General features: G+C 50.4%; 1 protein-coding gene across 2 annotated transcripts in view; it reads left to right on the plus strand.

Annotated features, from left to right (window-relative positions):
- Positions 1-17,181, plus strand: part of RPTOR (regulatory associated protein of MTOR complex 1) — a 421,531-nt gene that overhangs the window by 387,293 nt on the left and 17,057 nt on the right. For both annotated transcript variants that reach the window (NM_020761.3, NM_001163034.2), the window contains 3 exons: positions 8,366-8,471; positions 13,537-13,651; positions 15,097-15,221. In NM_020761.3, coding sequence (NP_065812.1) covers positions 8,366-8,471; positions 13,537-13,651; positions 15,097-15,221 — 346 coding nt within the window. The remainder of the gene's footprint in view (positions 1-8,365; positions 8,472-13,536; positions 13,652-15,096; positions 15,222-17,181) is intronic.

The following is a 17,181-nucleotide window of genomic DNA, read 5'->3' on the forward strand; positions in this document are numbered from 1 at the left end:
CCATTTCCAGGCATGCATATATATATATATATATACACCTTAGTCTCTGCTGTTCTACACATGAAGTCTGGAATTCATTCAGAAATTAGGAGAGGCTGGGCATGGTGGCTCACACCTGTTATCCCAGCACTTTGGAAGGCCAAGACAAGAGGATCACTTGAGCCCAGGAGTTCAAGACTAGCCTTGGCAACGCAGCAAGACCTCATGTCTACTAAAAAGAACAAAGGAAAAGTATGAGATGCCCCCAAAAATATAAGACAAACACGCCTGCCATCAAGAGACAAAGCAGAGAAAGACCCAAGGGCAACCCAGATGTTGGAACTATCAGAGATGGAGTGGAAATAACCAAGATTAATATGACCTAAAGGCATTGACAGCAAAGGTAGACAACAAACATGAACAGATGAGGGATTTCAGCAGAGAGTTGGACACTAAGAAAGAGTCAAGTGAATGCCCCCCAGAGGCCTATCTGTGACCTCAAATAGCCAAGGAAAAAAATCAGTGAATTTAAAGACAGGTCTATAGAAAGTACCCAAAATGAAGCACAAAGACTACAAAGAGTGGGAAAAAAACAAACAGGATTGCAGATCATCTGAGAGCTTCAGGACAGTACAAAGCAGTCCAACATCTAACCACAGATCCAGCAAAGATCCCAAATCATGGTATATACAGACACACACATGCACGTGCACACACACATATACACACACAGCTGGACACATATCTAAGCCACCACAAACCAAAGATAAAGAGAAAACCTTGAAGACCTCTGGAGCAAAAGGACACATTACTTACAGGGGAACAAGGACAAGAATCACCACAGACTTCTCATTAGAAACTGTGTAAGACAGAGATAGTCCAGTAATATCTTTAAAGTGCTGAAAGAAACTGTCAACCTAGAATTCTGTACACACAAAAATATCTTTCCCAAAAGAAGGTAACAAGACAAACATATCCTCTCTTGCCACTTGTCTTCAACACTGAACTGGAAATTATAGCCAGGGAAGTTAGGCGAGCAAAAGAAATAAAACATATCATATTGGAAAGAAGAATAAAGCCATCTCTGTTCACAGATGACATGATCCTGAATATTGAAAATCATTCAAAATCCATTTTAATAGAGTATCAGAACTTAAAAACCAATGCAGCAGTATTGTACCCACAAGCTCAATATCCAGTAACCATTTGTATCAGAATCCCCTACACTAGTAATGAAAACCCTAAAAATGCAATCAAGAAAACACTTTCATTTATAATCATAGCAAAAATAATAAAATGCTTAAGAATAAACCTAGTAAAAGAAATGTAAGACTTGTACTGAAACATTATTGAATGATACTAAAGAAGACTTAAATAAAGGGAAAGAAATCACACATTCATAGGTCAGAAGACTAACATTAAGTTGGCAGAACTCCCCAAATAGCTCTACAGATTCAGCACCATCCCTGGCAGCCTTTTTTGCAAAAATTGACAAGCTGATACTAAAATTTGTATGGCAATATAAGGGACCCAGAATAACAAAAGAAAAATGTAAGAGACAAACATACTGAACAACTCACGCTTCCTGATTTCAAAACTTACTACATAGCTGCACTAATTAAGATACCATGGCATTGGCTTAAGAGCAGACATATAGGTCAATGGATTTGAATTGAGAGCCCAGAAATATACCTTCCGTCACTGCTTTATGCCTATAAACTCTACAATTTAGGCGAGATAGACAAATTCCTTGGAAGAGATTACTACCCAGCGTCATTTGATAGCAAAGAGATAACCTGAATAGTTCCTGTCTATTAAAGAAAATGAAGTTTTCTTGCTTTGTTTTGTTTGAGATGGGGTCTCATTCTGTTGCCCAGGCTGGGGTTCAGCGGTGCAATACCTTCCATCACTACTTTATGTCCATAAAACTCTAAAATTTAGATGAAATAGACAAATTCCTTGGAAGAGATTACTACCAAACGTCATTCAGTAGCAAAGAGATAACCTGAATAGTTCCTGTCTATTAAAGGAAATGAAGTTTTCTTGCTTTGTTTTGTTTCAGATGGGGTCTCATTCTGTTGCCCAGGCTGGGGTTCAGCGGTGCAATACCTTCCATCACTACTTTATGTGCATAAACTCTAAAATTTAGATGAAATAGACAAATTCCTTGGAAGAGATTACTACCAAACGTCATTCAATAGCAAAGAGATAACCTGAATAGTTCCTGTCTATTAAAGAAAATGAAGTTTTCTTGTTTTGTTTTGTTTGAGATGGGGTCTCATTCTGTTGCCCAGGCTGGGGTTCAGCGGTGTGATCATTGATCTTTGCAACCTCAATCTCCTGGACTCGAGAGACCCTCCCACCTCTTCCTCCCCAGGAGCTGGGACTACAGGCATGCACCACCAGACACAGCGAATTTTGAAATTGTTTACAGAGATGGGGACTCGCTATGTTGCTCAGACTGGTCTCAAACTTCTGGGCTCAAGCAGCCACCTCAGCCTCTCAAAGTGCTGGGATTATGGATGTGAGCCACTGCATCTAGCCAAGAAAATGAGTTTTTAACTAAAAACTCAACACAGAAAACTTCTGACCCAGAAAGTTTCGCTGGCAACTGTACCAAACCTTTAAGGAGGAAATAATACCACTTCTGCACAACCTGTCACAGAAAATTAAAAGGAGTGAACACTTCCCAACTCAGTATATGAAGGCAGCATTTTTCTGATATCAAAACCAAAGATATCACAAGAATAAAAAACACAGATTCCCAAGTCCTCAGCATCGTATTAACAAGCTCCAGCCAGGCACAGTGGCTCATGCCTGTAATCCAGCACTTTAGGAGGCCAAGGCAAGGAGGATCGCTTGAGTCCAAGAGTTCAAGACCAGCCTGGGCAGCACTGCAAGACCCTGTCTCAAAAAAAAAAAAAAAGGCATTATACAAAAATCAGTTGTATTTCCATATGAGCAATTGGACATTGAAATTTAACATCAGTACCATTCAAAATAGCACCAAAATACATGAAATACTTAAGTATAAATCTTTTTTCAAAATATGTGAAAGATATGTATTCTGAAAAATATAAAACACTGATGAAAGAAATGAAAAGGTCTAAGTAAATGGAGACCATGCTCCTGGTTTAGAAGACTCAATAATATTAAGATTCCAGTTCTCCCTAAATTGATACATAGATCAATGCAACCCCAATCAAAACCCCAATAGGATTTTTTTTGGTAAAAATAGAGAAGTTTATTCTAAAATTTATGGGGAAAAGGAAACTAAAATAACCAGAACAATTTTGAACTAGAAGAACAAAGTTAGAAGCCTCACACTATCTTATTTCAAGACTTGCTATAAAAAAAGTAATCAAGATGGTGTGGGATTGGTGAAAGGTTAGATGCGTAGATCAATGGAACAGAATAGAGAGCCCAGAAATTGGTCTACACAAATATGTTCAATTGATTTTCAACAAAGGTGCAAAAACAATTCAATTCAATGGAGAAAGGATACTCTTTTCAACCATTGGTACTGGAGCAATTAACAACCAGTTGTCAAAAAAAATAAAAAGAAGAACCTCGATCAGTACTTCACACCTTATACAACAATTAACTCAGAGTGAATCATAGCCCTAAGTGTGAAACCTAAAACTATAAAACTTCTAGAAGGAAACAGAAAAAAAAATATTTCTGACCTTGTAGGTTAGGCAATGTCTTCTTTAATAAGATGCAAAAAGTACAAGTCAAAAAAGAAAAAAACGATAAGTTGGGCTTCATCAAAATTAAAAACTGCTTTTTAAAGACAGTTAAGAAAATGAAAAGACAAGTCACAGACAGAGCGAAAATTATAAAACACGTAAGATTAAGATCTTGTGGCTGTTATACATAACCCTCAAAATTCCATGATAAAGGAAATAAGCAGCCCAATTAAAAAACAGTGGCGAAAGATTTTACAGACACCCCACCAAAGAAGATATACAGGTGGCAAATAAGGACATGGAATGATGCTCATTGTTAAGGATCTTAATCACGGGAAAGTACGGACCCCTGCAGTGAGATCCCACTACACACCTGTTAGAATGTCTCGAATCTTAAAATCTACCAAGTGTTGGCAAGGGACACGGAGCATCTGAAACCCTCATTCTTGGCTACTGCAACTACAAGATGCTACAGACACCTTGGAAAAGGTTGTCAGTTTCTTACAAAGTTAAACGTATGCCTACCATGCAACCTAACCATTCTACTCCTGGATATTCACCAAGAGAAGTGAAAACATGTTCATTCAGAAACCTGTATGTGAATGTTTATAGTGACTGTATTCATAGTCACCAAAAACTGGAAACAACCCAAGTTTCCTTCACCTCGTAAAGAGAGAAGCTGATACAACCATACAATGAAAGACTCATCAGAACAATATTTAAATAAACTATTGATAAACGCAGTGGCACAGATGCATCTCAAGTGTATCATGCTAAATGGAAGAAGCTGCTCAAAAGACTGTATCCTGTATGATCCATGTATACAACATTCCAGGGAAGGCAAAACTGTGTGGAACTGTTCTATATCTTCCACATTTATCAAAACTCCGCCTGTACCTACAGAGGGCGAAATTCACTGTACGTAAGTTACATCTTCATCAACCTCATGTTGCGGGGAGAAGAAACTCTTTTCCCTCTTGTGCTGAAGTCACATGAAAGATGATGTAAATGCCTTGTTGAGGAGTGAACGTGCATAGCAAGCTCCGAGCTTCATTCAGAGCTTCTCCCCCCTCCACAGCTTGGCGATTTGTGGTAACACAAAGGCTGTGTCCTTGGACGTAATGTACACGAGACACTGGCAGAATCAAATCACCTCTGTTGCCTGTGGACTCACGACGCACACCACTACCTCTTCCGCCTCTTCCTCTGCTGCCTCTGTCCACGGAGGGGACTTTATTGTTCAGTGGGGAGGGGATAGTTTGTTGCTAAACCGTGGGGAAAATAATAAAAAGCGTCAAGGGGAAAAGCACATCACAGAGGCAAATTTGCCCTCACTTCAGGTCATCAGGAGCTAAGCGGGTGGAGAGGGAGGGAGCTGGCAGTGTGAGCGTTTAATGTGTTAGCGATCTTTTCCCATGGGTGCCTCTCCCCTTTTGCCTTCACCCAAGTCTTTCTCAATCTTGATAGTCATGTACCTGTTTTGAATTTTATCCCCTGCACCTTGAACCTTTCTAAATTCAGAGGGATTGAAGATAAGACTCAGCTCTAAGGCTCCCAGATTCCCCGGATAAGAATTTATCCCAAAACTGCCCCAAACTGCTGCTTTCCCGTAAGTCTTCTGGGGAACCTCTAATCTCCCTTTATTCCTGAGCCCCAGGTTTTTCTTTGCAACAGGAAAGGAGTTGTGTTTCATTGGCTTTCAGCTGAAGCCTCTGTGGGAGGCTTCAGAATCGTAATTGGTTTCTGTCTGAGTGGAAGCCAAGAGGTACAGGAGTGTCAAGATCCTCATCATGTAACAGGATCAGCGGCACCCACAGCCTCCAGGAGCTCTGTTTACAGGGAGGCTCAGCCTGCACTGGGCCTGGGCCCTTTTTTACTGAAAAGCCTTTATTCAGCCTGAAGAGAAACAGGTGGAGAGGAGGCGACAGAGCCGATGATGAAGAGCTGCGGTGTCATTTGCTGCCTCCGTGCTGAGCGGCGGTCACATCCTAGTTTCCCAGGGTGGGTGCCCGCATCTTCCACGGCATCTCTGCCTTCCCCTGGCCTCTCCATCCACCGCTCTCCCTCCTGCCTCACGCCGCACCTCCACTTCTGCCCATGCTTGTCCTGTGACCCTCGTGGTCATAGCTGGTTGTCCTGACACAGACACTTGGGGTGGTTCCGGAACCGCGTCCCGTTCAGAAAGTCTCTTCCCAGCCCAGCAAGGGCTGTAAAGGAAGGCTGTGGGCTCTCTCCTAGAGCTCAGATTAGGGAAGTGGCGGCCCCTACCCCTACAGGCAGAAGCCCCTGGGCCGGGAGAGGGCCCTTGCAGTGCCGTGGCAACAGGACAAGTGTGGGGCCCCCTGAAACCCCTCAGCTCCTGTCTCCGGGCGTCCTGTGCCCCTCCCTGTTCTGGCATGGGCCCCCTCTCAACCTTGCAGTCGTCTTTGTTGTCTTTGGAGCTGAGGCTCTGAAGCCGCCCCATTTCTACCCCCCACGTCTGGATTCTTTGCCTGAGCTCAGGCCCAGGACCATAGAGTGCCGGGCCAAGGAGCTGGAATTCCCATCAGTTCCTCTCCCTTCCCACTCGAAAGTTCCTTCTAGACTCTTCCTCTAATTTATTCCCAGAGAAGCCCGAGTCTCATTAAAGTGCAATGTCTCTGTTCCTGCACAGCTTTGAGTCTTTCCACCGCGGGTTTTTTCTTATTACTGTTCTATGTTATTTACCATTTGTCATTTCTTTTCTAATAAGCTCAGGATTGTCGTCAAGTGAAACTGGTTGCTAAGAATCCACAGTCTATCCCATTTGCCGTTGCGGGATTATTTCTAAATCAGAAAATGTGCGGAGGGAGCCATTTGACACCTTTTGTGGTTACTGTTTCCGGGTTTGGATGTCTTTTTTGCTGTGTTGTTGCTGTTTTATCGAGTGTGGTTTTGTGACTTTTAAGAAGAAAAAGAAGGAAGCAGAGCAATCAAATGCTAGGAACTGAGCCACAGCCACCCATGAGCACGGGGTCAGACATGAGGTTTGGGGCTTGCCTGTTTCTGTTTTGTAATCAGAGCTGACACAAAGCATTCGAGGAAGAGACACAAAGAATGCTCTGTAAGCATTTGCACATGATAACCACCTACAACGACCGCCTAAAACTCCACACGGAGAAACCGTTTTCTTTCTCCGCCACATTTACGTGCAAGGACGCAAACACGGCCATGCGCCATAGTCTTTATTCCCATTTCTTCTATCAGAGAAAGCGACTTTTTAATAACTAATGCAGGCTCTCTTTTTCCTTTGTCGAGACAGAGTTGCTTTTAGCCAAAAGGAATTAGGGTTCTTACCTTGTTTATTTCATTTATTTTATATTTTGGGTCTTCACAAGTCTTAGTTTCTTAGCAAGGAACAGAATTAGCCAGATTGACTGGACGGCATGTATGCTTAAGGAAATGCATCTGCGTAACCCAGACAAGTGGCCATCCTCCCGCGGAAAGTCAATTAAATCCTAGTTAGTATTTGCCAAGTGTGGACCTCTCCTAGACGCTGAACGTGCACACCCCAACCCACATGTGCGTGCACACACACAGACACATGCACGCACTCGCACACACGCACACACACGCATGCACGCAAAGGCCCTGAAGTGAATGAAGACCTTTGCTCAGGGAAGAGAGGGCAGCAGCATGTCTAGCGTCTGCATATTTCAAGTGAAAATAAACTTGGTCTTTCTGAAGCTGTCTCATTAGGGAAGGCACTGAAGTTCTCACGAGTTAGTTTAACCCCAGCCAGGCTTGCAGCTCAGCACCCTCCTAGCTCTTCCACCATCAGGAGCCCAGTGGCACCCCCTCTGCTGCCCAGGAAGGTCCCACACTCTCTCGGGGCCCGGCCTGGCCTCTCATGAGGCTGTCTTCCTTCTGTCTCGTAAGCTCCCTCATCTTCCAGCCAGCTGCCTGGTTCCCTTTGGCATTAGAGAGAGAATAAAGGCAGTGTCTCCTCAAGCGCACCTGCCTCCTGATTGTGTTTTCAGTGTTTGAAGCGGCATTCGGTGCCCCCCTGCCCTGCTGCTCAGTGCTGACCTCAGTGCCCCCCATTCCCTGGGGAGGCGTTTCCCAAGGCCCTGGTCCCCATCATACACCTGTCAGCCTCACAGGCCACTCACTCAAGGGTCTCAGAGCCCCCACACTAGTGAACACAGGCGTGGAGAGCGCCTCTCCCAGCTCCGGGGAGGGACCAGCGATGTGTTTTGTAGCAGACACAGGACCCACAACAGCCCGTGCCTCTGGTGCACTGGCCAGACGAGAAGCCCAAAGCCTTCAGCCTTTGAGAAAGAGGTGCCTTCATCTGAAAATAACTACAGCCAACCCTCCATGTCCACAGGTGCTGCATCCGCAGATTCAACCAATTTTGGATAAAAAAACAAATGTAAATAACAAAAATAAATTTAAAATAACAATACAACAAGAAACAATCCAAATTTTAAAAATACGGCATAGCAGCTATTTACACAGCGTTGACACTGTGTCGGGTATGGCGGGCAAGCTAGCGAGGGTTTGAGGTGTGCCGGAGGATGTGTTCTGCTTGTACGCAGATGCCACACCCTTTCGTATTGGGGACTGAGCCGCGCAGGTTTTGCTATCCGAGGGGTCCTAGAACCCATACCCCATTGATACCAAGAGACAACCCTGTTTCATCGCTGGGCTTAACTGGGTGTTTTCTGTTGTTGAAGATCCCAGAAGAGCACGACCTGGAGAGTCAGATCCGCAAGGAGCGGGAGTGGCGGTTCCTGCGAAACAGCCGTGTCAGGAGGCAGGCCCAGCAAGTCATTCAGAAGGGTAAGGGCACCCGCACAGCCAGCCAGGGGCTCATTCCGGGGGTGGGGCCTGGGGCGAGGGTCCCCTGTGAGCAGGCCCCCCGCGGCCCACGCACAACCTTCTCCAGCCATCCACTGTCCCACGACAGACCCGCCCCGCACCCCACCTCCCTTGCAGATAAGCACATCAAGGCTGGTGGAGATGAAGCTGCTGCTCCTCAAGGTTCTGCAGCCCAGAGTGGGGAGGGGAGGGGCCGGGTGGGAACCCAGCCACCGCCTGGGAAGAGGGCTCTCCCGGGACCCTGCCTCTTCCTCTGCAAGGGCAGCCCTCAGCCCTCGGGATTATCAGCGCAGGTGGAACTCATGGAGGCGGAACTTTGCATGTTGACATTTCCGGAAGGGAAGGCCTCTGAGAGCCCACATCTCCCCACCCGGACAGGTGTCGTTGCGCCAGGCCCTACACATGGCGCATCCTTCCCTGGAAACAGGAAGTGAAAATGCCAGGCCCTGCTTTCCTCAGCTGGCCTCCACTTGTCCCTGAAATGGTGGCCAGCTCTGTCACCCCACATCTCAGTCATGATTTTCCTAAACCTTCTCCCAGATTTGCCACTAGATGCCAAATCGCTCCCTTCACCTACCTTGTTGTTTGCTCTCCCAGCTGCACCCGGGGTGGAGGGGCAGGGAGCAGCCCTGGAGGGGGCGGTGTCTGTTGCCGCAGACAGCGGAGGGAGCTCCTTGCGGAAGGGATCCAGGCTGCAGGCGGCCCCGGTCACAGAGACTGTGTGGGGAGCAGGGAGGCCCTGAGAGTCAACACAGCAATGAGGGTGTCAGGCAGCCCCATCCCAGGGACCCTGGCCTCTCCCCAGGATCCAGGAGAGTACAGGGGCCCAGGCCCAGCCCTACAGCCCCACTGAGGGCACGGAGCAGCAGTGGTGTCTCCGCACTCCTCCCCCTGCCCTCGCGGCCACAGGCTCCCACCACTGAGCCAGCTCTGGCTGGGGGACCTCAAGCTGCCCCCAACCAAATCAGCACCATCAAAAGTCAAGGACTCTGACCCCAGTCTGCAGGTTTATTGTTTTGACCTTGCATCTTTGTCCTGTAAAATTCTGGAGATTATTATGGGTTACTTTCTGAAGTTGAGGTTGATGACCCGTAGGACAGATGTCCTCCCTCCTGCCAAAGCCGAGGGCCCTGCCCGCAGGCAGCACAGGCGCCATGAGCGCGTCCTCAGCGAGCGTGCCTAGGCCCGGCTCACACCTCTGCTCTGCTGATCACCGAAAACACTGCTGACTTCTGGTACCAGCAACGTTTCTGAAGCGCATTCCCACGCAGCTCTCTCTGTGAAAGACTGCGGTTCATCTCGCATTAACGCAGACGGTGGCTGTTGTGCTGAAAGCTAATTGTGGTTGTTTGTAGCCCTCTGTGCATCTGAAGAGCTGGCGGCAGACCAGGTTTAAAGCATCGCATGTTGCAATCCGGTGCGTGCTGCCCCGGCGGCCGCCGCTGAACCTTGCAGCCAGGGTGGCTTTCTCCAGCAGAGAGAACAGACCCTGCTGGATGAGCGTCTCCAGGTGGCGGCGACAGGAGGCTGTTTTCCTGGAGGTTAGCGATTCTCTAGGACCCCAGCCTGCTAGCTGGGATGGCCAGCACACGGGGGCTGCCTGCTGCCTGAGACAGGCTTGGGAGCTGAGTCTGCCTCACACAGTTCAACATCTGAAGATGAGCTGGCCCCTGATGGCCAAGGTGATGCTCTGGCCTGGAGCCTGTGGTCAGAATTGAGCAGGGTGCGAAACAGAGCCGGCATTCGAGACCCAAAACCGAGATTTCTAGACCAAAAAAAAGAATATATTTGTAAACCAGAGTTTGTCCAGACACACAAAGGAGGAGCTGCTGAGCCGCTGGAGACACCACCAAATGAGGCCTCAAGACACAGGGGATGGTGCCAGCAGGCGTGGTGCCAGCAGGCGTAGTGCCGGGAGTCACTGAGGAGTGAGGCCGCGCCCTCCTCCCAGTCCTCTGTCCTCGGAATTCGGATTCGGTGCAGGCGTTTATTTTCATTTAAGGAGCCAACTGTGTGCTGGGAAAGATGTGAGCATTGAGAAAAAGGAGGAATTGATGCCTGTAGATGGAAGAGAACCAGAGAAGTCGGCGTCGCCCAGGAGACGGGGTTGGGAAAGCCCTGTGTCACGCAGGCCCCTGCCCGGCTCTTCAGCCTTCTCCTGGGCAACATTCACGACCTTGGCTGTCACGCACTGATTTTCAAACGTACCAAATGCGTGGGCTGGGTGGGGTTTCCCTTTGTCCTTCAGTGCTTAGAATTATGCCCAAACTCCGTCCAGAACTCCCTGCAGCTGGGAATGGAGGCACCACTAGGGTAACACGGTGCTGCCGCCGCACCAAAGCCTTCGGGCCTGCCTGCCTCTGTGAGTGCAGCCTCTCCTTGTATAACGTGGCATTCATTTCCTTTCCGTGGTTCTGGGTGTTTGCTGGGGACTGACATTGTTGGAAACAGTAGCTCACCCGAGGTGCCGAGCACACACCAGGCATCAGTGAGGCTTCAGCCCGCAGACTCCGTGGCCCTGGTGCCACCTGGACAGTGCCAGGCACAAGCGGAGGGGCTGTCAGCTGCTGGAGGTGGGCGGCTTTGGCTGTGCTTAAGCCCAGTTCAGAGCAGCCTGCAGCAGAGTGCCCAAGTCGCGCGGCTTTGACCTTGCACCCCGACGGTAGGCTCCTTCTGTTGTAGGACTTTTTAATTCAGCTAAAAACAGGGTCTTTGTCACATGACCATGAAAAATTAGGCTCCCAGACACTTTGAAGGGTGGGAAGGGCAGGGTTTATTGGGTGAGAAGGAAAAAACGGGAAACAGGGCCTCCCCGCAAAGCCGGAGTCCTGCTGGTGCACTTCCCGCCTCGCAGATTGGATCCCAGGTTCTACCCCAGATCGGGAGGCTGGGCTCCTCCTGCTGCAAAGGGCGCCAACTTCTGTGGCTCCCCCCGTTGTCCCAGTGTGCAGGCTGGTGGGAGTTTCTCTGGGGACCCCTTTATACTTGGCTATCTCACTTCCTGCCAGAGCACAAGCCCACCACTCCCCACAGGGAAGACTGGAGGCGGGCAACGGTCCTCTGAGCCAGACCAGAAGTTCAGGTGAGGACACGGTTAGTAAGAGCCAGTCAGGTGAGGACACGGTTAGTAAGAGCCAGTCAGGTGAGGACACGGTTAGTAAGAGCCAGTCAGGTGAGGACACGGTTAGTAAGAGCCAGGCGGTGTCTCTCTGCACCACCTGGAGCTATGTCTCTGGCTGAGGAAGGCTTGGGGGTCCCCAAGACACCCTCCTGGTTGCCCAGAGGCCACACAGGTGACCGCAGCCAAGGCCAGGAGGCAGCCCAGCTTGTGTCCTTGGTGCCACAACAGACAATGAGGCTTATGCACCCACAGATCCCCAGCTGCCCTTTCAGTCACCAGGATGTGTTGGAATCCATCTTGCGCCCTCTGCATTTTTAGCTTCCTTTTATGGTTCCTTCTAGAAAAAAGCCTTTTAGAGTCACAAGGGACTTACTTCCTAGTGCTCGTGTTTGGGGGCCTGGTGGTTAAGTCCACGTTCCCCTCTTCTGTTAAATCTGTGATTCTGTAATAGATCCCTCAGTCAAGGAAGTTCATAGTTACCATTCTAGACTGAAAGACCCCCGGACTTTGGCTGCAATGTGGATCCTGGCGACCACACCCATGTCTCCTCCTTAAGTCTGTTACGAATCAGAGCCCTACCGAGCTTATTCTGAAACTTTAGCACTTTCTTCATATAATCTGACCCAGATAAATTTGTACAAACCTGACCACTGCTGACAAGTATTGGCTGAATGCTTCCACATGTCCAGCTCGGCATCAGGAGCTTTGGGGGTTTTGAGCAAAGGCATTAACCCTGCGGCCAGGGCCCCTGGGCCCTCATTCTGGGTACTCAGTGGCTGCCGTCACCCCAAGAGCCCAGATGTGCCTGCTCCTCAGCAGGTGGTCAGGCCCCTCCCTTCAGTCCCTGCTTTTCTTCTGCTTCCTTTGTGCCTCTCCAAGTCCCCAAGGTATTGACGTCGGCCATGATAAGATACGTCGTGAATATTTATTGTAAATTAAGACTGGCTTGCCGGGCATGGTGGCTCACTTCTGTAATCCCAGCACTTTGAGAAGCCAAGGTGGATGGATCACTTGAGGTCAGGAGTTTGAGACCAGCCTGGCCAACATGGTGAAACCCCGTCTCTACTAAAAATACAAAAATTAGCTGGGCGTGGTGGCGGATGCCTGTAATCCCAGCGACTCAGGAGGCTGAGGCAGGAGAATCGCTTGAACCCAGGAGGCAGAGGTGGCAGTGAGCCAAGATCACACCACTGCACTTCAGCCTGGGTGACAGAGCAAGACTCCATCTCAAAAAAAAAAAAAAAAAAGACTGGCTACTGGCTGGGCGTATGCCCATAATCCCAACACTTGAGGAGGCCGAGGCGGGAGGATCGCTCGAGCCCAGGAATTTGAGACTACCCCGGGCAACACAGTAAGACCCTGTCTCAACAAAAAACAAAAAAAAGTAGCCAGGTGTGGCGGTGCGCGCCTATGTCCCCAGCTACATGCAGAGTTGAGGCGGGAGGATCACTTGAGCAGGAGGTGGAAGCTGCAGTGAGCCATGATCACACCACTCTGCACCCCAGCCAGGGCGACAGAACAGGACACTGTCTTTAAAAAATAAAAAAGGGGCCCGGCGCGGTGGCTCACGCCTGTAATCCCAGCACTTTGGGAGGCCGAGGCGGGCAGATCACAAGGTCAGGAGATCAAGACCATCCTGTCTAACACGGTGAAACCCCATCTCTACTAAAAATACAAAAAATTAGCTGGGCATGGTGGCGGGCACCTGTAGTCCCAGCTACTCAGGAGGCTGAGGCAGGAGAATGGTGTGAACCTGGGAGGCGGAGCTTGCAGTGAGCCAAGATTGCACCACTGCACTCCAGCCTGGGCGACAGAGCGAGACTCCGTCTCAAAAAAAATAAATAAATAAATAAGGGGGAAAAGATGCTGGCTCCTGGATCCACTCTTGTGTGTTTCTTTTGACAGGCATTACGAGATTGGACGACCAAATATTTCTGAACAGGAACCCCGGCGTCCCCTCTGTGGTGAAATTCCACCCCTTCACGCCGTGCATCGCCGTAGCCGACAAGGACAGCATCTGGTATGCACCGCGCTGGTCAGGCCTCCCTTCCGGCTGACCGACAGCCCCAGCGATGCCCTGTTCTCCCCCGATCACCACTCCTCTTCCTTGAAAAGCAGATACAAGGCACTCACCCCGAGGCCCTTAGCACTGTTTCCTGAGAAACGGCCCTACTCACCTTCTCCTCTTTGACCGAGCCCCACCCACACCTGCCCCGGGCCTGGCCCTGTCCTTGTCACTGAAGGACAGTCCAGAGTCCTGCCTGCAGGTCAGAGGGGAGTGGCAGGGACTCCCCAGTGACACTTGTAATAGAGGCGTACACAGGGGGGCCAGCTTGCTGCCCTGCCCGCAGAAGCAAGCATGTGATAGACAAGCAGTAAGAAGATGCTAGGTGCCCCAGGAGAGAAGTGAGTTTAACTCACAGCAAATATCGCCCTTAGAGATGGAGAGAGTACCCACTTCATGGGGGAGGGCAGTGGGAGGGGGTTCCTTTTAGAGTTTAGAGTTTATAAAATCTCTGTGGTTCACACCTCCATTTCTTTTTCCTCTTTTTAAAAATTGTGGTAAAACATACATAGCCTAAAATTTGCCATTTTAACCGTTCTGAGTGCGCAGCCAGTGGCATTCAGCGTATTCACATTGTTATGCAACCATCACCCCCATTGGTCTCCAGAACCTTCTCATCACACAAAACCAAAACTTGGTCCCCATCAGACACCAGCTCCCCATTCCTGCATCCGCCTGAGCCAGTGTTTCACTTTCTGTCTCTCTGAAGTGGCGCACGCTAGGAGCCTCATACCAGTGGAGTCACCCGGGATTTGGCCCTTTGTGCCTGGCTTATTCGGCTCAGCGCAGTGTCTTTAAGGTTCCTCCAAGCTACAGCACGTCAGAATTTCCTTTTCATGGCTGAGTAATATTCCACTGTGTGGATGGACCACACTTTGTCTTATCATTCATCTGTTCATGGACACCTGGGTTGCCTCCACCTTTTGTCTATTGTGAATAACACTGCTGTGAACATTGGTGTACAAGTATCTGTTCAAGTTCCTGCTTTCTGTTTTTTGGGGATACGCCCAGAGTGGAATTGCTGGACCATATGGTGATGCTCTGTTTAATTTTCGGAGGAACCACCAGGCTGTTTTCTGCAGGAAATCCTCTTCCCTTCCCACCCGCACAGCCTGTGGCTCCAATTTCCCACATCCTTGCCAGCACTATTATTCTCTCTTTGTTTGTTTGTTTGGAGACAAGGTCTCACTTTGTTGTCCAGGCTGGTCTTGAACTCCCAGGCTCCAACAGTCCTCCTGCTTCAGCCTCCCAAGTAGCTAGGATGACAGGTGTGAGCCGCCGTGCCCGGCTGTGGTGTGTGGTTTTTTGATAGCAGCCCGGTGGGTTTCAGGAGGTATCTCACTGTCATTTGGGTTTGCAGTTTCCTAATGACTTTTTTATTCCTCTCTTCTTCCCTTAAGCTTTTGGGACTGGGAGAAAGGGGAGAAGCTGGATTATTTCCACAATGGGAACCCTCGGTACACGAGGGTCACTGCCATGGAGTATCTGAACGGCCAGGACTGCTCGCTTCTGCTGACGGCCACAGGTGAGCGGGGTTTGCACAGCCAGGATTGGAAGCCAGGGTCTGGAGGAGTGGCGGGGAGGGTGTGTGATCCTGAGATGTGTTTGTACATCTGTCTTACAGAAAGCCCTGCTCACACGCGAGGGCCACTGTCATTCAGAAGTGGGGAGGTTTATGAGGGAAAGGGCTTCAGCAGCAGAGACAGGAAAGCAAAGATGACCCCATCCTTGAGGGTTCCAGGGACTTGTCTTCTCATCTCAGTCCTCTAGCCCTTCCAGCACCAGGAAAAGCCTCTGACAGCCTCTGTCCTTAAACCCCTGTGAGAGACCCGGTGGGTCCCACGTGACACCCGAGAATCAGGGAAGGATGCCCCAAGCCACAACACGTGCCAGGTCCTCCCCGGCCAGGGTCTCCTGGCATCGCTGGCTCATTTGCCAGTTGCTGTCCCCACTGGGAGCTGGCACTCACCCTCCTCCAGTCCCGTCCTGCACCTGAAAGGACATCGTTGACCATCATGGTCGCTGACCAGTGGTTCATTGCCGTAGTGGGTCTCACTCAGGTTTTGGTTTTCTTGGGTTTTCGGGGGGTTTTTTGGAGGGGTCCGAAATGTCTTAGTTTCATCTTCACTTTGGAACAATCGTTTGTTTCCATGTCAGTTACCCCACGTTGACAGTCATTTTCCTTTAGCGCTTTGAAAACACGTGTCCATTGCCTGTTGCTGATGAGAAGTCGCTGTCAGTCCCACTGCACTTCCTGTGGAGACTAGAGAGCGCTGGGCGGGAGGCAGGCGGGGGAGGCCAGCACGGCTGAGAGAAGTGAAGGCCGACACCCGGATCCCACCCAGCCTGTCCCTGTCGGCCGCAGCCCCTGGACACCTGAGCCTCTGAGAGTGTCGAGTCGGTTGTGCTGACAAGTGCGCAGCCCTCTCAACGCGGTTGCGGGCTCCTGGTGAGGGGCGTGGCCATGGGGACGTGTCCTCGTGCAGCCCCTCCTCCGAGCGCTGCCCCCTCAGGACCAAGTAGCATCAACCGATGTCGAAAGCCCGTCTTTGTCCCTGTAGCTGTCAGACGTGACCGGGAGGAGATGCATAGTCGGGGCAGGGGCCGGTGGGGGCAAGGGACCAGCCAGGCTCAGCCAGCGGTTTCGGAGAGACCAGATGTGAGCATCTCCCAACACCAGAGGGAGAGGGCAGTTCCTTGGCTGAGAGAGCGAGCACTGGAGCAGGGCCAGGGTCCTTTGCAGAACGGGCTCCAGACAGCAGTAGAAGGGCTCCAGCTCCAAAACCAGGAACGTTTGGTGTATGCGATGGAAAGCAGAGAGCGGGACAGGCAGGTGGGTGGAGGTGAGGCCGTCGTCCACCAGGGCAATCAGCTGGGGCTTGAAGAGCGCCTGAGGGTCACGCAGGAGGGGCTGGTGAGGCCAGGGGGTGCGGATGTGGTTCCCGGAAGGCTCAGAGTGCCCGCATGCTTTCCCCACACCCAGGCCGACCTCCCTGCCTGTCTGCTGGAGGATGCAGAGGGCCGTTTCCTCCATTCTAAGCCCTGAAGAGCAGGGCAGTGCGTCCCTGCCCACGTCTTAGGCGGAGAGCCCAGACGTCTGCATTGTCCCTTCAAGTCAAGGCTACTCTCTCTGTGGAGCACAGAGAGGAATGGGGCGGAGGGTGCTGGTGTCCTCTGTGAAGCTGGCCTTTCGTTCTGCTCCCTGGCACAGGCTGGCTCACCAGAGGGTAAAACGCAGCCCCACCCACCCAACCGAGCTTCACCCGCCTGCCTCCCTCCAGGGAACCCGATGCCCTGGAGCTGGAGGGAGGAAGGGCAGCCCCGGCTCCCAGGGCAGCCAAACCTCAGAGTTGAGCTCTGTGGCCAGGGTGGGACAGGATTGTGGTCTCCCATCCCCTGGGCTGCGACTCCTCCTGCTGGCTCGCCCAGATATGGATCTGAGGACAGAGTCCAGTCGGTGGGCACCCAGAGATCTGGAACCACGG

Source organism: Homo sapiens, chromosome 17, assembly GCF_000001405.40.
Source record: "Homo sapiens chromosome 17, GRCh38.p14 Primary Assembly".
NCBI lineage: Eukaryota > Metazoa > Chordata > Mammalia > Primates > Hominidae > Homo > Homo sapiens.